The sequence below is a fragment of the Homo sapiens genome, chromosome 10 (genome assembly GCF_000001405.40).
Source record: "Homo sapiens chromosome 10, GRCh38.p14 Primary Assembly".
Classification (NCBI taxonomy): domain Eukaryota; kingdom Metazoa; phylum Chordata; class Mammalia; order Primates; family Hominidae; genus Homo; species Homo sapiens.
This window is the reverse complement of record NC_000010.11, coordinates 21,154,909-21,178,737: the sequence shown is the minus strand read 5'-3', so window position 1 is coordinate 21,178,737 and position 23,829 is coordinate 21,154,909. Positions and strand designations below refer to the sequence as shown.

The window sequence follows — 23,829 nt, the reverse complement described above, 5'->3', positions numbered from 1 at the left end:
ATTTTGATATGTCATCTACCAAGGAATGTTTCATCATTATTTGAAGTTTGTCACTGTGCTGTGCTATGTTGGGGCATTGAAGTGATGTAATTAAATTTTCAGCATGTATGCCAAAGCAGAATAATCCCCAAAACAGGAAAAATAGTAAACACCCAAACCCTTCACTTTAGGGGGTCTTATATTTTCTGTGGGAGAGGAAATATGGTAGCTCCAACTCCTGGTGAGATGTGTAGTAATGACGACTTCTTCTAGCTGTCTTTTCCTGACTTCCCGGTGTGAATTAGAAATTTCTCCTCTGTTCTTCCATGGTATCTAGAGTAGAGTTTTATTTTAGAGCATTTATCATATTGTATTATAATTCTTTGCTTACTTATCAGTCCCACTAGATTTTATTATAAGCAGAGATCATGTCTTATTCCCCAATGCATTTCCTGGTGCCTAACATCCTGCCTACCAATAACTATATGTTGAATGGATGAAGGAAGGTAATTGTTTCTGTAATAGCTTCTGAATCTTGAATTTCCCCTAATGTTTGTATTTTACATTTCTCATTGACTTGCAGAAATATTATAATGGCAAATGAGATAATTTTTCTACAGTGCTTAAGATCTTTGGAGAAATGCTTCATTAGGTTAAAGCTCATATGTGGATATCAAATGAAACTGTGAGCTAAAATTGACCTTTTTCCTTTCCTTTTGCCACCAAAGTTGTTGGTTGCGAAAACTTTCCTCCACGGTGAATTTGAGTCAGCTAGGAACAACATACACAATTTTATACAATACCTGACAAATGGAAAACATGCAGTTGAGCTGTATAAAATGAGATGATGAAATAATTAATAATAAGAGCTCTATACTTTATTGGCCACTACACTTCTAACGGCTCACCTTTTAGAAAAATAAAGACTGTAGGCTGGGCACGGTGGCTCACGCCTGTAATCCCAGCACTTTGGGAGGCCGAGACTGGCAGATCATGAGGTCAGGAGATCGAGACCATCCTGGCTAACGCAGTGAAACCCCATCTCTACTAAAAATACAAAAATTAGCCGGGCGTGGTGGTGGGCACCTGTAGTCCCAGCTACTCGGGAGGCTGAGGCAGGAGAATGGAGTGAACCCGGGAGGCAGAGCTTGCAGTGAGCTGAGATCATGCCACTGTACTCCAGCCTGGGGGACAGAGCGAGACTCCATCTCAAAAAAAAAAAAGGAAAAATAAAGACTGTATACTGAATCTTTTATGTAAATTCATTAGTTTCTTGTTGTTGATGAAGTGGAAAACATTTCTCTTGAAGTCTCATCATTGACATACTAGTGAGCTTTTGCTGCAGTAACAAAACAATCCCCCAAATCTCAGTGACTTATAACAATTATTTCTTACTCCCGTCATGTGAAGGCTGTGGGCTTGCTGTGGCTCTGTTGGGCATGATTCAGCCCGTCTCATTCTTGAACAAAAGTCAAAGAAACAGTCACCTCCCTGCAGTATGATCTTTTCAAGGCCAAGGGCCAAAGCCCAAAAGGTGGGAGAACAGGGGCAAACTATGCAAGCGCATTTGAAGCTTCTGCTCAGATACGACATATGTCATGTCCACTCACATTCCATTGGCCGAAGGAAGTCACACGGCCAAGCTCAGTGGGGAAAGGCACACTGCCTATAGGAAGTGTGCCAGAATAGAAGGAAAAAAAAATTGTGAACAAATCATACTATCCATCACACTCTGCATCCAAACTGGTATTAGTCAAAGCCATTGTTTGGCCTTTTGTGATATTAGTTATGCTTTAAAACTTTTATTTGGAGTTCAATTTATGTAGCCTGAATAATAAAGGTGATTATAATTGATTTTGCATAAATAGGGCTTTCATAAATAGGAGGAAAAAGTAAGGAGATTTGGGGATTTTAGCTAAAAAAAATTCAACTTTATAAATACAGAAGTGTTTTTAGGATAGTGATGAAGGTCAATTGTTTTGTATATCTGTGAGTGTCCCTGTCAGCGGAAAAGGATTGAAATTAAAGTAGAGATATTGGGGTAGAGTTAACACAAGGAACAATTTCTTAACCAGTCGAGTGAAAAAGACATGGAAGGGCAAAAGTTCTCCCCAGTAGACAATTCAATCATTATTGAAGAGAGAAGACTGGCTAGAGGACAGGTTTCTGCCAATTCTTTGTTTATAGTACTTTGAATTTGAAAATAAAGGAGTCCTTTTAAGACAGATGGTATTAAAATTCTTCTTACATCAGTAAAATGGCATTAAGAAACTTAGAAGCTGGTTTGATGTAGAAAATGAGAAAAAAATGAGAGAAAAATGTAACTCTGAGCATGTATCGCTTCTTCAGAGAATAAAATATCACATGAATATGGTTTTAATGTATTTGTTCATTTCATTCATACTGTATGTCAGGCACTGTGATCATTGCTGGTTTGGTAAGAAATTATAAAATGTATCTGGGTGTGGTGCCACATGCCTGTAATCCTAGCACTTTGGGAGGCTGAGGTGGGAGGATCGCTTGAGCCCAGGAGTTTGAGACCAGCATGGGCAACACCGCAAGATCCCATCTCTACAAAAAATACAAAAATTAGCAGGGCATAGTGGCATATGCCTGTGGTCGCAGGTACTCAGGAGACTGAGACGGGAGGATCACCTGAGCCTGGGAGGTCGAGGCTGCCACTCACTGAGGCAGTGAGTCATGACTGTGCCACAGCACTCCAGCCTGGGTGACAGAGTTAGACCCTGTCTCAGAAAAAAAAAAAAAGATTAAACATAACTTAAAGTTCAAAGGTTAGATGTAATCAGCTATAATGTCACATATCACCAACATTCTTGCTCTGAATTTTGTGCTTACAATTTGAAAAAGAGAATAAGATATTCAAACTATATTTCATGATCTACAGTTATGAAAATGTAAATGTTTAAAAAAAAACTACTGCCTTTCAGGCGATCACATACTTTTTTTCCCCTCGTCATACATTTCTAATGAGCTCTGAAATATTTTTAAAAGACAGCTGATCCTCTCTGACAGCAAATTCTCATTTTATTTGCTTTTGAGGTGGACTTGTGAACATGGCAGTGAGTGAGTGGCTCAGGGGCTGTTGAATTTGGTGAATCCTTTAAAGAAGTTACATCTTCTGGAAAGTCAAACAGTACAGCATTATTATGAATATGTCCATCAGTGCAGCTGTTTAAGAGGCCCAGAAACCAATGGTTTTCTTTTGTCATGAAAAGCTGCAGCCATGATATTTTTTTGAAATGACAGAAATATTTGTCAGAGCAGTGGCAGTTGGTATGTGGCATTATTGAGTCTTAATCTGTGCGCTAGCAACGGAATGTGTTCGCTTCTTTGTTATAACCAATTTATAATAATCCTAGCTGACTCTTCCGTGGAGCTTCCCTTGAGCCAGGCCGATTGAAGCAGTTCGGAACTGCTGACTCATTTAATCCTCACAGCAGGAGAGTAGAAGCTGTTCGGTAGCTGCGTCCTTATTCCCATTTTGTAGATTAAAGAATTGAGGCATAGAGCGACTAAGAATTTGCAGAAGGTCACATCATTAGATGGCGGGGTCAGGCTTTGAACCCAGGCTGTGTTCGATTCATTTTGCTGCCTCTCATCAAGTGAGTCCAATAACCTGACATCTTATTAAAAGGAAGAAACGATTCCTGTTCCCTTTGGTTTCATCCTACCCTGAGCCTTCTACTTGATTTTCTGGCTCTTCTGGTTTGGACTACGAGTTTGTAATTGCTTTCCTTAATGCAGGTGAAGAACTTTTCCCAGATCTTTGCGGTGTTGAATTGCAAAACAATACAACGTATACATCCACGCACACTTAAAACAAAACGAGCCATATTCATTTATTAATCAAGAGAGGCTCGACTCGGGCCTAAAATGACCAGTCGCTCTGCAAGGACAGGTATTAAAAAGCGCGGGGTCTGGGAGCCGGTGAGAGAAGGCTCTTTCTCATCCAGGATCCGAGGACTTCCCGCGGACACGAGGGAGAAGCGTCCTCTCGGAAGAGGCCCGTGGGAGCGGGCGCGGTGCAACCCTCGGCCCCTCTGGGACGCAGGTCTCCGGGTTCCCCGCGGATCTCCCGGCCCTTGGGCCTGGGTGCGTCGCTGCGCGCAGCAGAGACGGCCTCCGCCCTGGGGCTGGGTGCCGCTGTCCCGGGTTTCACTGGCTGGAGGAGGAGGGAGGGCGCACCCTGGCCCCGCACTCCCCGCGACATTTGGGTGCCAGGGACGTCAGTCAGCCTGGGATGAGGGTGCCCCCGGCTGGGGAAGAGAAGAGGGAGGGAAGGGAGTACGCGGGTTTGAGCACTCTCCCCACCGGTGTTTGTCACCTCCCCCGCCTGGATCCCTCCCTCCCCAGCCGCCGCCCACCTGGGCTCCCCGGCCTGCAGCGGCGGTGGCGCGAGGCTCACTCCCCAGGCCGCACAGTCGCACCCACGGCGGTCTGCGGAGCTTTCCGGGTCTCTGCCCGCCCCCTCCCCCGCTGCGCCCTCCCTCCCAGGGTGCCCGACGTGCACGTTCCCTGCCACTTCGGTCCGGGCGCGCCGGTGGGTTTGGCCTGCGCGGCGGCGGCGGCGAGGCGGGGGAGCGAGTGAGCGCGAGGGGCGGGCGCGAGTGACTGTGTGAGTCACCCGTACCTGGAGTGCGAGCGACGCAGAGCCAGCGGCGCGGAGCCGGAGCCGGAGCCGAGACCCAGCGCCTGCGAGCCCGAGAGCGCGGCCGGCCCCAGGCGCCAGGCCCCGTCGCCCTCCCCGTGCACTCACCCGTGGCCCGGCGCCGACTCCCTACCCGGCGCCCGCCGCCCGCAGCCCTCCCGCCTGCCAGGAGGCGGTGCGGGGCTCGCCGGGGGATGTCACAGCGGCTCCTGGGAGCCAGCAGCCGCCGCCGCCGCCGCCCCCGGGAACCGCGATCATGAACCCCCAGTGCGCCCGTTGCGGAAAAGTCGTGTATCCCACCGAGAAAGTCAACTGCCTGGATAAGGTGAGCGAGGGGGCGCCGGGCCAGCCTGGACCTGCCGGGCGAGGGGCTGCACCTGCTTCGAGAAGTTTTGGCACCTGGGATGGAAAGCAATGAGTGGGTCGGTGCGTGTGCGTGTGCCTTGGCACGGGGGGAGGGCGCGCGAACGAAGACGCCAGCGGGAGTGTCAGAGACCACGCTTGGCGATTGTGATGTTGGAACCGGGAAGGGCTTTTGTCGCGGTGCGGGGCGGTGCGACATCGGCAGAGCCTCTGCGGAGGGCGCACGGCGGTGCGCAGCCCCGGACCCCGGAGGGACCAGGCTGGGCACCCAGGGGGGCACTTCGGCGAGCCGCGCCCCCTCCACCTCCACTCGTGTTCCACAATACCCCCGCCCCCCGCCCCACAGATCCGCCCGCGATCCCACCTCACCGCCCACCCGCAGCGCCTCCTGTGACCGCGGCGAGGGGGAGAGGCAAATAGTAATTAATATGTCATGGGGCGGCCGCTGCCGCATTGCTAAGAATAATCCCTGCTGGAGAGCTCCGGCTCAGCGCGGCAAGCCGGACCCACGGGTGTCTAATCCACCGGGTGGGGAATTCCAGGGGAAGTAGTTCTGTAGCCGGGCCCCTCCAGCCCTGCCCCCTGCCCTTCCCGGGCAGGGACGGAGATGAACAGCCCGGGAGAGAGACACCCAGGAGCGATCCGGAGTGACTGACAGTTGAAACCAGCCAGGGGCGTTCTGGGGAAATTTGCGTCTGAAGATACAAATGCTTCCTTAGAACAAGCTGCCATCCTGACAGTCATCCCGGGCAGAGTCCGAGGTCCAGCATTTTAGTGGAAGCTGGTCAGGTGTAGGGGTACTTACATAGCTCTCGTGCAGCCCCCTCAGCTTGCCTGACTTCGGGTGAACACATATTTATTGAGATCCTACAAACCCTGCATTTAGACACTTTGAACTGGATTCCTTTTGGTTTCGAAGCCACTCTCTGGGCCCCGTTTCTTCATTAACCGAGCTCAGAAATCGTTTCTGGCTGCTCAAAGAAGTGCTGTTTCGACAGAACCTTGACAGTTCGTCCATGGTGCGTCTGTGTATTGCGGTGGGTTTTCCTTTAAGACTCCATTTTCAGAGCTGCCTGCTTTATTTACTTAGCTGAAAGTAGGTAAACACATCCCCAGTTCCCTACACTCTTTTTGTTGTAATATTTTCAGCTACAGGGACTGTGATGCACTAAAAAGCCTTCCTTCTGTGCCCATCCTGGTGAGAACTGGCATTGTACTGTATTTTTAAATGTTTTTTTTTTTTTTCCAGTATTGGCATAAAGGATGTTTCCATTGTGAGGTCTGCAAGATGGCACTCAACATGAACAACTACAAAGGCTATGAAAAGAAGCCCTATTGTAATGCGTAAGTATTGTCAACACGCTGTCCAGGTGTGGCACAGCCTCAGAGCTTGAGAGCCAGTGGACCTGCCTGTTTTGAAGAACTGACTCACTGTGTCACCCAGGTGTGGCAGGGGCCAGTTACCTGTTTATATCACAGACTCTGGGGCCATGTACTTTGTTGACGATCACTGCTTTTTATACCTTTCTAATGTGTTGGGTAACGTCTATGCATCTTCAATCAGGTTAGTTTTTGAGGTTCGCAGTGTTACAGCCTTAGGGACACTTATTAGAAGCTGCTGAACTTCCCCACTGAGAACGTGTGGGCTCTGAAGTGCATGTCAGGTAGATTTCCATTTTAATCCTGTGTCAATTTCCATTTTAATCATAGGATGTTGCCATACTGCAATTTCATACCTGAACCTAGTTGCTATGGAAAGGAGTCTTGCTCATTTGGTCTTAGCTGAGACCACTGCAGAGATTCTGGGCTTAAACAGGAAATCAAAGAATGGTTTGGAGAATGGAACCAAAGACATGGGTATTCCTGGCTGGTTAGTAGTAGGTCGTTTGTAGTAGACCGACTGAAGTAGACCGGGTACTTCCGACTGGTTAGTGCTGTAGTAGGTGGGGATTAAAAAAGGTAAGCCTTCTTTGGAAGGCTTTTGTGTAGGCATGCTGCTAGCCTAGAATAGCAATTAGCTAGCATTTATATCGCGCTCACCGTGTGTCAAGCTCTGTTCTAAGCACTTTATGCATACTGATCATTTAATCTTTACAACGACCCTACGAGTTAGGGGACACTATTATTACCCCCATGTGGCGGGTAATGAAATTGCGGCCTTGAGAGGATCAGGCTCAGGAGGGGGCTCAGATCACTCCTGGAGGCTACTGGTGGTTTGATTTGGCTAGTGTTTCCAAATGTCTACCTTGCTGCCCAGGGGCATATGTTTCTCCACTCCTGTGAACATCCCCCTACCCCAGACTGCTTTCAACTGTAAGCTCTTGGCCCTGATGGTTAAGTTTTCTCTTTCTTTTCCTTTCTTTCTTTTTTTTTTTTCTTTTTTTTTTTTTTGAGACAGAAGTTTGCTCCTGTTGCCCAGGCTGTAGTGCAATGGCATGATCTTGGCTCACTGCAACCACCACCTCCCAGGTTCAAGCGATTCTTCTGCCTCAGCCTCCCGAGTAGTTGGGATTACAAGCATGCGCCACCATGCTCAGTTAATTTTGTATTTTTAGTAGAGACGGGGTTTCTCCATGTTGGTCAGGCTGGCCTCGAACTCTGGACCTCAGGTGATCTGCCCCGCTCGGCCTCCCAAGGTGCTGGAATTACCGGCGTGAGCCACCGCACCTGGCCTGATGTTTGAGTTTTCTCACCAGTTCCCCTGTGTGGTTGGCATAGTCTGGAGGCAGCAAAGGGGCCTTTGGACCCCTGGCCTTTTGGCTGGAATGTTGCCAGAGATTCATCCTCCCTACAGTTTTTGAAGTAGGTTCATCATTCAGGTCTCCTAGAGATGGAGGGCCCTTGGTTAATTCATGCTTCATTACATACTGACAGTATGTTATCATAGACAGTATATTTTTGGTAAGCAAATGGAATCACTCATACCTCTCTGGCAAATAACTTAAAAAAAATTTTATCTGGTGAAGACTGTTTAATATGTGTTTTTCCTTACTCCTTAGTGCTTACAGGTAGACCAGAAACTTTTCAAGAAATCAGAAAATGGGGGCATTGAACAGAATTCAGGACTTTCTTGGAGAGGGGAAGTCCACAGATATTCCCCAAACTTTCTGATGTCTTCGATCCTCCTACACCGTGCTTCCTATTGGAATAGCGTGAAGCAAAAATGAGGTTTCAGTATCATGATTTCCTGCTTCCCTTCCAGAGAGCCATAAATGACTGGTTAAAGATCAAAGGCAGGCGTAAGGAGAAGGGAAAGGGCCCCAAGCACCCATAAACGGGATAATTGTTCTTTGGTTAAAGGAAAGTGAACCATTCTTCCTGTAACTGTTTCAGTGGGCAGCCTGTTTCCATCAGGCTTTATGGACCACATCAGGATTCAGGATTCTTTACAGGGCAGGGCCAGGAATTTAACCCCAGTGATAACAATGCCTTTGGGTGGCCCTGGTAGGCCTGAAGGGATTGGGAGGGAAGGAGGAAAGAGACAGAAAGAAAATGGGGAGAGAATAGCAATTACAACAATGAGAGAGAATTGGATAAGGGAGAAAAAGAAATGATCAAAAATAAAAGGACAGAAAAAGGTTCTACTGAAGTAGAGTCATTGACTGCATTGGGATACTTGAAAATTATTTAGTGCTTATTGCTTAGTTCGAGTTCAATCTGATTTAAAAAGTTTATGAGATTCTGGATGAGTTGGGAAGAGCTATTTTGCACTTTGACTTGATAGTGATGAGTGCCCAGAAACGTTGAGATGTGGGCCCCAAAAGGAAATGATTCTACTTATGAAAAAGAAACATCCCGTTGTTTTGTTTCATAGGTCTTAACCTTATTTTTAATACTCTCAACATACCTGTATAGAATGTTTATAGATTTTTCTCTCTAAAATTTCTCATATGATTCCAGTACATTATTTTTAGTTTTAAGTTGAATTCTGAGGGTAGCACCCTAGGATTTTTGCCTCATTTTGAACCTGGAAGTCTACTTGATTGAGCAGATAAATAGGGGGAAATAGGAATTCATCCTTAGTGAATGAATGTGTAGACAGCTGATATTTAAAATTTAGCTTTAGGTTCATGTCATATGCTAACTCTAGAAAATGGAGCCTGGCAAAGTTTTGGATTCTGTCTGCTAAGAGGGTTCTGGGCTCAAAGGTCCCTGCTGTCAGTCTGTAGTCTGAAAAGGATACGTGTTGCCATGTAAACTGGCTGGGCAGTATGGATTGCCCTCTGGGGATCCTGACTCATTGGCTCTAATTCACGTGGTGCATGTCAATCAGCTGCTCCCTGTGGTTGTGGCCAGAGGGCCGCCATAATTTCTCCGGGTCAATGGTAGAAAATTGATTTTCTTATGTATACTGCTACCAGAAAATGAAACATTTGCTTTCCATGTAATGCAATATTTTATCTGTACCTGGTTTGGTTCAGGAGTCAATGTATATACATGCTTAAATGAAAACAACTCTTCGTCTTCCCCTGTCACTTTTTATTGTGAAAATTTTCATACATGAAAAAAAAGTAAAAGAATAATACAAGGAACATCTCTATCCCCTCCACCGACATTCAGCTATTATTAACATTTTGCCATGTTTGCTGCTTCATATTTTGATCTAATTATATGTCCAAATATATATATATATATATATATATATATATATATATATATTTTTTTTTTTTTTTTTTTGTAGACGGAGTCTCACTCTGTAGCGCAGGCTGGAGTGCAGTGGCTCAATTTCAGTTCACTGCAAGCTCTGCCTCCTGGGTTCATGCCATTCTGCTGCCTCAGCCTCCCGAGTAGCTGGGACTAGGGGCGCCCGCCACCAAGCCCGGCTAATTTTTTGTATTTTTTAGTAGAGATAGGGTTTCACCATGTTAGCTAGGATGGTCTCGATCTCCTGACCTTGTGATCCACCCGCCTCAGCCTCCCAAAGTGCTGAGATTACAGGCATGAGCCACCGCGCCCGGCCACTGTTGAGCCATTTTTCCATTTCATACATCAAGTTGGTTTCATACATCGTGACATTTCATCCCTAGAAACTACGTCATGCATGCACTAAGACTAAGGACATTTTCTTCAAGAATCATAGAGCTTTTATTACACTTAAGAAAATTAACAAATGCATTATTATAACATCTTATATCCTGTCTAATTTTACATTTCCCCCATTGTCCTAAGAATGTTCTTTACAGTTTTTTTTAAAAGCCAGGATCCAATCAGCGCTCATACTTTACATTTAGCTGTTATGAAAATGACAACTTTTCTTAGCTATTAGAGATTCAATATCAGTTATTCAAGTTCTGCTATTATTTCTACTGATTTACAGAATCTCTCACAGTTTTCAAGAAAAGGGCTTAAGTAGCATTTCTTATGAAAAAACATCCATAATTAAATGAAGAACCTTTAAAATAAATATTAAGAATATGCTTAAGAATTGGAAACCATGAGCATAGACATTTGGAATTATTGTAAGAAAACATAAAGATTTCTCATTTTAATCGCTACCTGAGGGCATTCTTTAATGGAATGAAGTAGTGAGTGCTTCTTCAGTTTAAATATGTTGCTTGTTTATATTCTCATGTGTTTAGAGAAGAAACAAGTATTCTGTTTGATTTCATGCAAAGGAGAACATGTATAAAATATAATTTACATGATATTTAAATTTTGATCTTTTGATAGAACGATCAAAGTATAGTACACACTAGATGTAAGATTGGGCGTAATACCCATTTTGCTCCTAACGCAGCAGTGCACACTATTAAAATATTTAAAAACAAACTGGTGTACTTGAGTGCGTGCCATGTTTTCATAAGCTTTTATGTTTCATAAGCAGGCAATGGATTCTTTAGCACATTTGGGATTTTTTTCACCATGGAACTTGCAAAGAAATGAGGACTAGGCAAAATTGTTATCACTAAGAGGTGCCGAGAAAATAACACTTGATGATTAGACAAAAAACATAGCTAATATTTCTATGTGAATTTATATGCCAAGCTAAACTATAAACATTTTGCTACCCAGCAAGCCACACAATGAGTATAAACCCTAAGACCATTTGTCAAATAAATTATTTAATTTGTTGTGTGTATAAGTCAAAATTGCATTTACTATGTCTTTTTAAAATATACGTCGGTTCTTAAAATTTCTTGAGAGGTATTACCACTTAGAAGTAGCATTGCCAAGACTGACCAGCTAATGTGTTCTCACCAAATGTCAAGTTATATTAGGTCTGGGGTGCCACCAAGGAACGACGCAATAGTTTAACATGACCTTGCCAATAATTTCCCCAGAACATTATTTCGGCTGAACATTATTCACAGACATATTTTTGGGCTGAACATTTCCTCTGACCTGCCTACATTTACTATACCTTGTATCTTAGTCAAATGTATCTTTAATTATGGGGCTAAAAGAACAGAAGTATCCAGTGAAGTATCTTTAGTGATCCAAGTAAGATTCCCTCTCATCAAAGAGTTTCACTTAACATGGTTTCCGAAGACTTTAAAAAATAAAACAGCAGGCGCTGAGTGTTGTGTTTACTTTCGGTCTGCCTGTGTTCACATTCCCTCTCGTGAATATTTATTGACTTTCTACCGCCTGCAAGAGGCTGGGCTGGGTGCATCTCGTGACGAGTCACCCAGAACGGTCAGCACAGTTCTGCCGGCCCCTGTTGAGTGTGATTATCGAGGCCAGTGCTCCGCTGCCTCTCACGTACCATTTCGCTGCTGGTCACTCCTCATTAGTGCCTTTCCTAAGGGTAATCAGAGGACACAGAAGGAAATTAAATTGAAACCTGAGAGTATTCCCACCATCTATTTTCCTTATCTGTAGTTGGGCCTCCTGAATTTGGTTCTAGAACACTCCAAGGACTTGAGTTATCTCAAGGAGATTGATGAAATTCCTGCTATGAAGTTAGCTTTGATTACAAAACAATGTGTCACAAAGTACAACATGTTCTAATTGGAGTTTTGGAGCTAGATGGAGCTGGAGTTGAATCCTAGCTCCATCCTGGCCTACTGAGCAAGTCTCTCGATTGCCAAGCATCAGTTTCTCCATCTGTCAAATGGGCACAGTAATACTAAACCCACAGGGCTGTATGAGAAGTAACAAAACAACACTAGGATAGGCCGTAGCCTGGTGTCTGGCACATGGCAGACCTCCAGGAAACAGTAGTGTCCGTCTTTCCTCATTGGTACTTTTTTGAGGGGTGAAGAAAGAGTGGGGAAGAGAGAAGAGGAAGTACATCAATAAATGATAAGAACTCACTCACACCTATTAAAAGGTTTATACCGAAGTTTTTCGCACTATGGGCTGCTACCCATTAGAGAGTTGTAACCAGAATTGAAAGAAGGAAGAAAAGAGAATGAGAAGAGAAAACATCAGAATTCATTTAAGTACTAAAAAGAGAATTCTTTCGGCAAACTTTTTTTTCAGTGATACGGGTACATATGTGTACTGGATCATGATGTAGAAAATTTTTTTTTCTTTTCTTTTTTTTTTTTTTTTTTTTTTTTTTGAGACACAGTCTCGCTCTGTCGCCCAGGCTGGAGTGCAGTGGCTTGATCTCGGCTCACTGCAAGCTCCGCCTCCCGGATTGACGCCATTCTCCTGCCTCAGCCTCCGGAGTAGCTGGGACTTCAGGCGCCCGCCACCAGGCCCGGCTAATTTTTTGTATTTTTAGTAGAGACGGGGTTTCACCATGTTAGCCAGGATGTTCTCGATCTCCTGACCTCGTGATCCTCCCACATCGGCCTCCCAATAGAAAATATTTTTTATTGGAAGTGGTGATTGAAAGATATGAGAAACACTAGTTTAGTTCCATATTGTTAATGCTCCATACATCAGAGAGCACTGAAAGTTACCTGTAACGTACAATGACATGCAATAAGTTTGTGAATCATAACAGCCACTTTTCTGTTTGTGCCCATCACACCCGACCCCACACCTTTCCCTGGGGTTCAGTCCAACACAGTCACCACATAGGTCTCAGCTCAGCAGTAAGAGCCCACACCACCCTGTGCAGGAACCATGAGCTTATCTGTCTGTATCCTCCAAGGGATCTGTCCCATGTATCTGCATATGCCCCCAAGCCTGGCACGTAGACGAGATTGGGCACGTCCAGGGTGGTATGGCCGTAGATGAGCCTGGCATTTAGAAGGTACTTGATAATATTAGTCACCTCAGGGACTGCGAGGACTGTGTGTAGCCTCTGCTCTTAGCCCCTAGTTTAGGATAAGGCCCAGGCTAGTTTCTTTTGGGAAGGCAGACAGAGCTTGCATGATCCAGAAGAACTGGATTAGGATGAGGCTTTGAGGAGCCTGATCTGTGGGGACTGGTGACTAGGGTTCATTAAGCCTGAATTCCAAGGGATAATAAAGTATCCTGCTGTTGGGATAGTCTCACGTTTTCTGATCTGTAATGAACGTAGTGGGAATTTACTTTCACTACTTAGAGGTCTGGTTTCAAAATGTGACATCTTTCTAAAAACATTTCTTATGAATGCTCATTTATTTCCTTCTGGGTTAAATTGTAATCTGTACAATGGGAAAATAATTCCCACCTACCAGGGACTTTATAGAGATTAAATGGGGAAATGTTTGTAAGCTTGAGCCCATCAAATAACACTTCAGGACCCAAATGTCAGTCCACTCTTTTACTTATAATAGTGAATGGAAAATTGTTGTCTCCTATTTCTCCCTTAAAGACAAGAGAAAAGGTCACATTGTTAAAAGTGACTGTTTCTATGGAAGGATATTGTGGCATGTTAGAGTTCTAGTTAGCATCCACTGCAATGTGCCCTGCCTGACTTTTTAGTTACATACCTCATGGAAAAAATTAAACCTTTGCCCCTTGACACAGTATCTGACGTGACAGGATGACAGTTTTCTTTTTTCTTTTTGGGTTATAATTGGATGATTGAAAACAAAGGAAGGAGATACTTTGAGCCAATAAAAAGGTTCCAGTGTATATACAAAATGATCTGGTTCTCAGTCACCGTATTGGACCGTTGGCAACATCTAATGCATTTTGGTATCTTTTAAGTCATTGTAGGGAATCATATTTACAAACCACACTCTGGGTTCTCTGTCCCATTTGCAATGTTTCTGAAAGGTGCCTTTGATGTGTAAGTTCTGCCTGTTTATGATGATGTATTTATTATGGAATGATGTCAGATTAGAAAAGATTTTGAGATGAAGCTCAGCAGATCTCTCCTCAATCATGGTGAAATGCAAGGTTAATGCAAGATATAGATATGTGTGCTTAAAGGTATATTGATTATGTGTCAAGGGCCTGTGCGAGAGGACATTTCAGTGGGTCCTCTTTAAATGTTTTCAGACGAGTGCTTTACAGAGTGGTTCCTAGGACATCAGGGAGTAAGAGAGATACAGACATAGCCATGCATGACACCCTTGTCCTCGAGGGCTTAGAACTCCTTTAAGTCTCTAGAGGAAGGAGAAATCAATTACGTTTCTGTTCTGTTTCAGTTCTTATAGTTAGTGTTACTAGGAAGACCTTGGCTTTTAGCCTTAGGAGACCTTGGCTTTACCGTGGAATCTAGAATAATATTTATGAGCTGAGTACCCAGAATGTTTTAGGAACTAAGTAAAATGATTATTATTGATTTCTTCCATGCTCAGGTTGGCTATTTGAATTCAGCAAAGTCCTGCTAATGGGTCTAACAGTTCTTCAGGCCTCTCTGGTCGAACCTAGATAGGGCACAGACCTAACCATGAAAACAGGAAGTTGTGAGAAGGACCAGGTTTAAGTGGCAATGATTGTTTCTTCCATCACTGGAAATCCCGTATTAATTTTATTTATAGTTAGCTGTGCATTTTTCTTAGCAGAGTCTTGGAGGATGTTGCTTCGCGTTTGACTTCTGTTTACTTTTTCACACTCTCTGTTGACTCATTCTTATTGAATTCTAGGAGGAGCCAGAAGAGAACTAGTTCGATGTGTGCATTCTTGAATAGCATCTGATCAATAACCAGACTGGTGGTCTGTTGTACTTCTGCATCAGCTCAGCGGTCTAAAAAGCCATTTGGATAAAAATCTTTGATTAGCACTCTGAGACTCATTATCCATCAAAGGCAGGTGCAACCAAACACAGAGAACTTGGAGAAATAGGATGACTGAACTCAGCCAAGGGTCTATAGATCTGGGATGTGGAGCGGGAGTTAGAAGGTTGCCTGCCAATGTTGGATTTGGTTTTTAAATATGACTCTGTATCCATTAATTGATCCAGAGTGTGAATTCCAGCAAATTCAGGCAATGCGTGGGAGTGGCAAGAACACTGCAGCAAACGCATACCTCAGTGCAGAAAGACGTGCCCTATAAGTAGATGTATTTTTGATGGCCTGTTTGGATAACCTGCACTGTCTTCTCCTGCCTACTCTCCCCACTATCTGCCCAGTCTCCTGAGCTTCATGCATTTCCTGCCACCACAGTTATTTTCTGAAAACTTGGTTCTGAGTATACTACTCTCTTGCTCAAACACCTGTGATGGCTCCCTATTGCTTATAGGAAAAAAAACTGGGTTTCTAGCAGACTTTCAGAGCCTTTCACAATCTACCTTCTTCTATCCACTTCCATTTAACCTCCTTCTCTCCAGCCACACTGGGCTGCTAGCTTTGAATCCTTCACCAAATTTCTTAACCTAAGCCTCAGTATCCTCATCTGTAAAATGGGTATAATAGACTCTATCTCTTAGGATTAAGGATTCATTGGAATATCCAATCTAATAATGAGCTTAGCAGAGTTTCAGGCACATGGTAAGGAATTAATAAAATTTAGATATATTTGTAATTTTCCTCATTATTAACTAGACACAGTGATTTGACCCTTTACTCATGCTGTTCTTATGCCCTCTGGCATTGGAGTGACTTTGATCCTTAAGGCACATCTGTAAGGCTATGCCTACCTTTGTGAAGATATTCTGAATCTCTCAATCAATTACTGAACTCTTTCTTTGTCCATCCATTGTACTTTTTATGCCTCAATTATATCACCTATCAAAGAGCCTGCTTTGTATGATGGTCGTGTTTGTCTTCCCATTTGAGTTGGTTTCCTGCTGAAATTGGACCATAGATATTCTCAGCCTGGAGTGGGAGGTGAGTTGGGATAGGCGAGGTCAAGTCAGCCTGCAAGAGCTTTGCTCCTTGAAGGGACTACTTTACTTTTTAAAGAGCAAGTGTGTAAGGAATTGAGAATGGGTGTTACAATACCGCAATGCAATTCTGATGCCAACCATGTGGAGTTAGCATCAACTCTGCAAATGAAGGGCACAGATCCCAACAAATTTGCTCTCACTTCAAGCCCAGGAGTCCCTAGGTCACCTACAGTTTGGACCAACTGGCTGCAAATTTGAGAGTTCCCACGACCCCCTCAGATTTGATAATTAGCTGGAACAATTCACAGGGCTCAGGACAGTGCTCTACTTAAGATGATTGTTTTAGCATAACAGATACAAATCAAGACCAGCCAGATGAAGAGACACTTAGGGCAAAGTTTGAGAGGATCCTGGATATGGGGCTTCCCTGTCCTTGCTCTGTGGGATCAATATGTGTTTTCTTCCTGGCACATTGGTGCAATCATCAACCAGGGATCTCCACCAATCTTTGGTATCCAGAGTTTTTATTGGGGTTTCATTATGTAGGCATGATTGATTGACTCATTGGTGATGTGATTGTTCAATCTCCAGCCCCCTCTCTTCCCTGGAAAAGGTCAGCTGATCTCATCCGGCTCAAAGCCCCAAACCTCTAATCACAGAGTTGGTTTTTCTGGTGCACTGAGCCACCTTGATCACATCCCCTTAGATATGGTCCAAGGAGCTCATGAATAACAAAGACATTCCAATTACTTGGGAAATTTCAAGTATTTAGAGTATGCCTCCCAGGAACCAGGGACAAAGGCCATTCAAATTCTTTATTATACAACAGGCATGCTTCACACTGTCGCCATCAAAGCTACCTTTGATGGGTTGCCTCTTTACATCCTGAGCCTTCCTATTCCATCAGGACATGAATGAGGGCCTAAAATCCACCATCCCCAGTCAGTCAATAGAAGTTGGGGAAGATTAGAAATAGTTTGCTGCCTGTGAACAGGAACAGGGGGTGGGGGGTCACTAATTATGGGCGGATTCTTAATATAACTCTCTAGATTTTGTTTTTATTGATACACGAGTCTGTCCTATTGGCAAATTACATTCTTGAGGTCAGGAATGGTCTAATTGCCTTTGTCTACAAGCACACGTGCTGTGTGCTCAGAAATTGTCCCTCTGTTGGAACAGATTGCCCATCTAGCTTTGTTGGGGGCATGGTGAGTTCTTTTGGCTGTCTGAATGATACAGCTTAGCCTTATTCTAGGCATCCCCAGCCAAGAAAGCTGACTCAATGAGAAGGAATAGAGGACGAGTATGGTGGCTCAAGACTGTAATCCCAGCACTGTGGGAGGCTGAAGCAGGAGAATCACTTGAGGTCAGGAGTTCAAGACCAGCCTGGGCAACATAGCAAGACCCTGTCTCTAATAAAAAATAACAAAAAATAAAAATAAAAATAAAAAAGAAGCAATAGACATATCTTTCTATAAGGATCTGTGTGGCGATCCTAGATGTTGCTGGCCATGCTTGGACTGATAATGCACATGAACAGTAGCAAACACTTCCTCTGTGTAGGTGAAATATTGAAATTTGCAGCTGGATTACGGGTCACTGACATGCAATGGAACAAATGATGACAAGAATAATGTCTACAAAGGTAGTTTATAAAAATCACTTTGTTATGACTCTGTTTTTCAAAGTCCTAGGAGTGAACCATGTGTTTGAGACATCAGACCATATACACATTTACTTGCATATCATGTTTTTTTTTTTTTTCCCCCTGGAAATAAGTTTGATGGCTTCATTTCCTGAAACTAAATTTAATCAGGGATTAATGGTCAATTCCTGATGAATAAAAGGTCTTAACAGGCTCTTGTGGAAGAATCTTCTTTTCTCAAGTGATTTTTCTTCAATGTTCTGCCTTTTCTCCCACATTTCCAGAACTTTAAAAATAACTCTGTAGGATCAGTGCTTCTCCCCCAACCCACCCTCCCCAACCCCACTATCTCTCCGTTTCTCTTTCTCTCTATTTGAAGTCTTTTCTGTTGCCAGTGACGTAGTTCTCTGATTCTCTTAACATTAAGGGGAATTCTATTTAAAAATTTCTAGATGCTTAAGGCACGTGATAATTAAGGGTTATTCCTATCAGGAATAGAAACACCATATTAGAACAGTTCTTCCTCAGAGGCTACTAAAGAAAGAAAATTCTGTTTAGAGGGTTTGCCTCTGTGGTCTTTTTTTAAAACAGCAGTTATGTAATGTCAGGTTTAATTGGCTGGGAGTCAGGAAGCTGGCTTATTTGTGCGCCTCTTGTGTCATATATACCTGCAGGGCTGAGTGGCCCGTAAAAAGCACTCAAGATTTGCACACGGGGGCTGCTGCCCAGGAAGTGTCCTGCAGAATGGCAGTTTGGCAGACGTTGAAAGAAAAGCATATTAGTTTTTTTTTTTTCTTTATACAGTGATGAGTATATAACAGGGACTGAATAAACATGTGTTGATTGACTGTAAAAGAACCTTTACTCTGAATGGGAGACAGCAGTCGCTGATCTGATAGCAAGCTTCCCAAGTCTGGCTTCTTTCTCTGGGTCTATACTGGTGGGTCAGGAACAATTGTTACCGAGGATTTAAAAATTAATTCCCTAGCAGGAGAAAACAGGTGGTAACATAAAAGAAGTCCCTGAATGGAGGAAGGATCAAGTAATTCTCAGAAGAGACCAGCAGGGGAATATTTATGACCTCACCTGTCTGTACCAATGCATAGCCACATTATGAGATACGTAAGATCCAGGAGTTTTGCCAACGTGGGATGGGGACAGGCTGATGATTAAATTGTGACAGTGGAGAGGCTTGGTATGCTAAAAGAGAAACATGTCTAGGAGGTGAATCCATGAATAGAAAGAATCTTGAAGGTGAAAAGATGATGGAGAACATTTGAGTGAGAAGGAAAAGAAGGGAAACAGGTGGCCCCGCTGCATGGCAGACCATGTGCCTCTTGTCCAGATTGGAAATGTCATGGAGGCTTTTTCAATGAGTTATCTGCTGAAGGTTTAAGAGAGAATACCAGTTGGTTTCTTGCTTTGCTTTTGTGGACAACGTCACTGCTTTCAAGCTGCTTTGCGCTTAATTTGGAAAAGAATTGGTCGATGGGGTAGCAGTTGTGAGGACTTTAGAACACGTAGTCTCTGTTATGTTGAAGTTCAGGAGAGCAAAAGAAGGAGTCACACCACACCTAGCCTTTTAAGAAAACCTTCAAACGGTGTAGGGGAAGAAGGAAAGGCTGTGCTTGTTCAAGAAATCTTAGGTTCTCAGAAACTCTAAGATAAACGATGTGTGCCATACCCCTGTGACTGGTCTAGTCATTAGCTCACAGTTAGCTTTTAATAAAGATTTGCTGAACAAACAGAAGAAGGAATAAGAAAAAAAGGTGGCTCAAGTGAGATAGAAGACTTTGAAAAATAAAATCCTGATTGAAAAAGTGTTAATTATTTCAGAGAGAGAAAGGGGGAATACATCTTTAAAAAAAGGGTGGAGGAAAAGCATCATAGGACATACCTTGGGAGCTTTCTAAGCTCAGATTAGCCTAACACACAGTTTAAAAGATGGATCACTGAGTGTTCAAAGATGGCAGACACAGTAAGAATGGGATCAGAAAAGCTCAAAACCATGGCTTGTGACAATTCTAAAGACAAAGTGGGTTTCAAAAGCACTTATATTCTAAGAAAAAAGTGGAACCCTGGCTTGGGGAGGATAATTGTGATAATAAACGATGACAGAAAAAAATCCTATTTAGCTTTCATGCAATTCCTATTTAGCTTTTATCCTTTCAACTGAGAAGAACAGATTTACAACTAGAAAAGATCCAAAACGTCATTAAGAAATTAAAGTAAAAATTAGGAGAGCCAGTAGTCAGACATCAAGTCGTTTTGCGTTGGATTAAGGAAATTGGAATCTGTCCATCCAGAGGGTGGCATCTTAGGGACCTGAGAAAACCCTGTAGATGTGGTCCTGGAACTGAAACACTGGAATCATGTCCCTTAGCAGTGAGAGCGGATGTGGTGGGGGAGTGAAGGGACCATTCCCTTCTGGGGCTGACGTTGAGTTACTTTGCCTCACCATCCCTCGGTTTCCTCACCTACAAAATGGTGATGTTGTCTCAGTTATCCCATCTGCAAAATGGGCATTCTGTGTCTCAGTTGCTGATAATAATAGTATTTGCTACCTCTTCTGGTTACTGCAAGGATAAATAAGATAATCTATGTAAATAGTTGACATAGAGTAGACACTGTATAAATGTTGGCTATTATTACTATTGCCTATTCTCTTTGAGAAATTGTCAGCAAAAGAAAGCTTTGGGGATGAGAAAACATCCCAAGTTTTAGAAAGGGGAAGAGACAGATTGTAGAAATTACAGCCTAATTAATGTGACATTAATTCCTGGCAAAATCCTCACATGGATGAGTGCAGAATGGTTTGTAAAGACTTTAAAATAAAAAGTCCTCATAGGTTCTGTCATAGTTTGCTAGGCTTGCTGTGACAAAGTACCATAAACGGGGTGTCTTAAATAACAGACATTTGTTGTCTCACAGTTCTAGAGACTAAAAGTCCGAAATCTAAGTGTCTGTAGGGTTGGTTTCTTCTGGGGCCTGTGAGGGAAGACTCTGTTTCAGGCCCCTGTCCTTGGCTTATGTTGAATAGATGGCTAGCCGTCTTCTCCCTGTGTCTTCACATCAACTTCCCTTCATGTGTGTCTGTGTCCTAATCTCGTTTTCTAAGGACACCAGCCATCTTGTATTAGGGCCCACACCTATGACCTCATTCTCACTTGATTACCTCAGCAAAGACCCTATCTCCAAATAGGTCACATTCCGAGGTCTGTGGGGTTAGGACTCTAACACACTTTTTGGACTCCAATACATATACAATTCAACTCCAACAGGTTCACTAAGAAAAGTCAAGCAGAGCAAAATTAACTGTGTTTTTGATGCTAGAGAAGAAAGGAAATATATACACAGTGAACTGAAGAATTTTATAAAACAAATTCAATGCTGTCAATTTTTTTTTATTTTTTGAGATGGAATCTTGCTCTGTCACCCAGGCTAGAGTACAGTAGCACCATCTCGGCTCACTGCAGCCTCTGCTTCCCAGGCTCAAGTGATCCTCCCACCTCAGCCTCCTGAGTAGCTGGGACTTTCAGGCACGTGCCACCATACCCAGCTAATTTTTTGTATTTTTGGTAGAGACGGGTTTCACCATGTTGCCCAGGCTGGTCTTGAACTCCTGATCTCACGTGATCCACCCACCTCGGCCTCCCAAAGTGCTGGGATTACAGACATGAGCCTCTGCACCTGGCTTAAATGCTGTTAATTTTTTGTATATCAATGACACCTCAATAAAGCTTATAAAAGATCAGTGTTAAAAAAAAAAGTGAAGGAATAATGGAGACTTTTTCTGAATTACGAGTTGACCACAGTGTCTGTTTCTTCCTTTGACATGCATATCTTTGTGATTTCACTAATATTTTCAAGGAGTAATAACCTTCTCTTCTTTCACCCAGGACCTTTACTTTGTGACATTATGTGCTTTGTAAGCTTGTAAAACAATTAGAAAATTGTTCTCTGATAGATTGTTCTTGCTTGTAGGAGAATGGTATTGAAATATTCATAAGGAAATGAATTTCAGTTTCAAATGGCAAGAAGAAATATGGTTTAAATTTTTATAGAAAATGACATAGTTCTTGTTTTATTTTAAAAAGAAGGGGGAAAAACTCATGATTGTGACCTTGGCTGTAGTTCAATGTAGAGATTCTAGTGTGAAGATTTATAATCTTAATATTCCTACGATTTAGGATTTATATTTCAATTTCAGAATTTAATTATTAATTTTCTCATGAAAGTTTCTCAGATAGCTTCACTTTCTTAAAACTTCTTTTATTATTTTATTAAGCAATGAAGGATTGTATCTGTATTTCAAGAGTGAGTGAAATAGACTTTTGTAATTGCCATTTTTTATATATAAGTAATGGGCTCCTAAAAAAAAAAAGCACGAAGGCAGCATAGTTATGTCCTGTGATAAGAAATGGGTTGGTCTTGCTTTGTTTCCAGTAGACATGCTCCCTGGTTAGCCTATTCTCCCAGGTGAACTTTATTACCTGATAGAAATCTTATCCATCAATTGAATTAATGTGTGTTTTGAAAACACCATTCTTCTTCCATGTTTGCTCCTGACTTTGAAAACGAATCCCAAACACACTGCTCTCTTTTCCTCCTCATAATCAGATCCTAGCTTTCAATGCCTCCTAAATACTGTTGAGTTAATTTTTTGATAACTCTTTGTCCATTTGTACAAAAGCACATTTGTACTTTTTTGCCCCGTGCTTACAACCACACCAAAAAGATGCCAAATGGAAAACTCTCCTGGTCTTTAAAGAAAGGGCAAAGCTACTTCTCGCAAATTACATGAATAGAATTCCTCCTGTCCCCCAATAAATGAATGCCAGCAGTTTTTTCTTTCCTTGGAGTTTCTACTGATTCTTTCTATTTTACCACTTGAGTGGCCAGAAATTCAGCACTTGTGGTGTGATGGATGTTTTTAACTTTTCTATGAACCGTTGTTTTGAAATATGGGGTCTGGGCCCTGCTGGAGACTGTAGGGCTGTTCCCAATATTGCTTTTGAGCGGTGGCAATAATCAGTAGGTGGGGGCCAACTCCACCTCTTGGGGCCTCTGTTCTTGTCATGCAGTGGGCGTTAATCTCTGCAGAGGAATTGATTGTGAGGAGGAAAAGAGAAAATGGATAATTATAAAGAACTGGGCACAGCTCAATAAGTGGAAACACGAATGACCATGTGATAGTGCTTTTCCAACGCACCTCCCTTGCCCAGTCAGTTTTCTCTCTGGAACCAGGTAATGTTTTCCCTATTTCACTCTTCTGGTCTTTTCAGGTGTGTCAATTGTTTGAGCTGTAGCAATGCAGTGATTACCAGTGATTACTTGGGTTTTGAATGTGAGTTTGAAAGTTGAAATGTTACCTTATTATAGGCACAGTACTCAAGATTTCCGAAGTACTTATGTATAAAGTGAAATGAATCAGACACAGAAAGAGAAACACTGTATGTTATCACTTATCTGTGGGATCTAAAAATCCAAACAGCTGGACTCATGGAGCTAGAGAGTAAAAGGATGGTTACCAGAAGCTGGGAAGGTTAGTGGGAGGGTGGTGAGGAGGTGGGGATGTTAATGGGTACCAAAAAAATAGTTAGAATGAATAAGACCTGGTATTTGATAGCACAACAAGGTGATTATAGTCAATAATAATTTAATTGTACATTTAAAAATAACTAATAGAATATAATTGGATTGTTTGTAACTCAAAGGATAGATGCTTGAGGGGATGGATACCCCATTTTCCATGATGTGATTACTAAAAAATTTTTTTGTGTGTGTGAGGGAGTCTTGCTCTGTCGCCGAGGCTGGAGTGCAGTGGCGAGATCTCAGCTCACTGCAACCTCTGCCTCCTGGGTTCAAGCAATTCTCCTCCCTCAGCCTCTGGAGTAGCTGGGATTACAGGTGTGCACCATCACCCCTGGCTAATTTTTGTATTTGTAGTAGATATGGGGTTTCACCATGTTGGCCAGGCTGGTCTCGAACTCCTGACCTCGTGATCCACCCGCCTCGGCCTCCCAAAGTGCTGGGATTACAGGCGTGAGCCACTACGCCCAGCCTATGATGTGA

General features: G+C 43.0%; 1 protein-coding gene and 1 long non-coding RNA gene across 12 annotated transcripts in view, besides 4 other annotated features; one reads left to right on the top strand and one right to left on the bottom strand.

Moving 5' to 3' along the window:
- The window catches only part of NEBL (nebulette), a 513,078-nt gene that overhangs the window by 114,313 nt on the left and 374,936 nt on the right, over window positions 1-23,829 (top strand). For 2 of the 10 annotated variants that reach the window (NM_213569.2, XM_047424444.1), the window contains exons 1-2: window positions 4,551-4,973; window positions 6,261-6,355. In NM_213569.2, the coding sequence (NP_998734.1) occupies window positions 4,905-4,973; window positions 6,261-6,355 (164 nt within the window). In that variant the 5' untranslated portion in view covers window positions 4,551-4,904. Of the gene's footprint in view, window positions 1-3,806; window positions 3,899-4,550; window positions 5,075-5,758; window positions 6,049-6,260; window positions 6,356-23,829 lie in introns of those variants that run through there. The other 8 variants (NM_001173484.2, NM_001377322.1, NM_001377326.1 and 5 more) reach the window with 6 other exon arrangements.
- NEBL-AS1 (NEBL antisense RNA 1) lies at window positions 3,815-4,748 on the bottom strand. 2 transcript variants are annotated; one of them, NR_046283.1, is made up of 2 exons: window positions 4,631-4,748; window positions 3,815-4,256 (listed from the first exon to the last, which is right to left on the bottom strand). It is a non-coding gene; the product is annotated as an NEBL antisense RNA 1 (long non-coding RNA). The 2 variants fall into 2 exon arrangements; NR_046284.1 differs by lacking the exon at window positions 4,631-4,748 and adding an exon at window positions 4,365-4,436.
- Window positions 4,279-5,169: an enhancer, noted in NCBI's record as "H3K27ac-H3K4me1 hESC enhancer chr10:21462498-21463388 (GRCh37/hg19 assembly coordinates)". NCBI's record gives its function as "activates a minimal SCP1, AML or CMV promoter by ChIP-STARR-seq in naive H9 embryonic stem cells {active_cell/tissue: H9 hESC(naive)}" and the evidence as "EXISTENCE:reporter gene assay evidence [ECO:0000049][PMID:30033119]".
- Window positions 15,964-16,867: an enhancer, noted in NCBI's record as "OCT4-NANOG-H3K27ac hESC enhancer chr10:21450800-21451703 (GRCh37/hg19 assembly coordinates)". NCBI's record gives its function as "activates a minimal SCP1, AML or CMV promoter by ChIP-STARR-seq in naive and primed H9 embryonic stem cells {active_cell/tissue: H9 hESC(naive and primed)}" and the evidence as "EXISTENCE:reporter gene assay evidence [ECO:0000049][PMID:30033119]".
- Window positions 16,868-17,772: an enhancer, noted in NCBI's record as "OCT4-NANOG-H3K27ac hESC enhancer chr10:21449895-21450799 (GRCh37/hg19 assembly coordinates)". NCBI's record gives its function as "activates a minimal SCP1, AML or CMV promoter by ChIP-STARR-seq in naive and primed H9 embryonic stem cells {active_cell/tissue: H9 hESC(naive and primed)}" and the evidence as "EXISTENCE:reporter gene assay evidence [ECO:0000049][PMID:30033119]".
- Window positions 19,026-19,576: an enhancer, noted in NCBI's record as "NANOG hESC enhancer chr10:21448091-21448641 (GRCh37/hg19 assembly coordinates)". NCBI's record gives its function as "activates a minimal SCP1, AML or CMV promoter by ChIP-STARR-seq in naive H9 embryonic stem cells {active_cell/tissue: H9 hESC(naive)}" and the evidence as "EXISTENCE:reporter gene assay evidence [ECO:0000049][PMID:30033119]".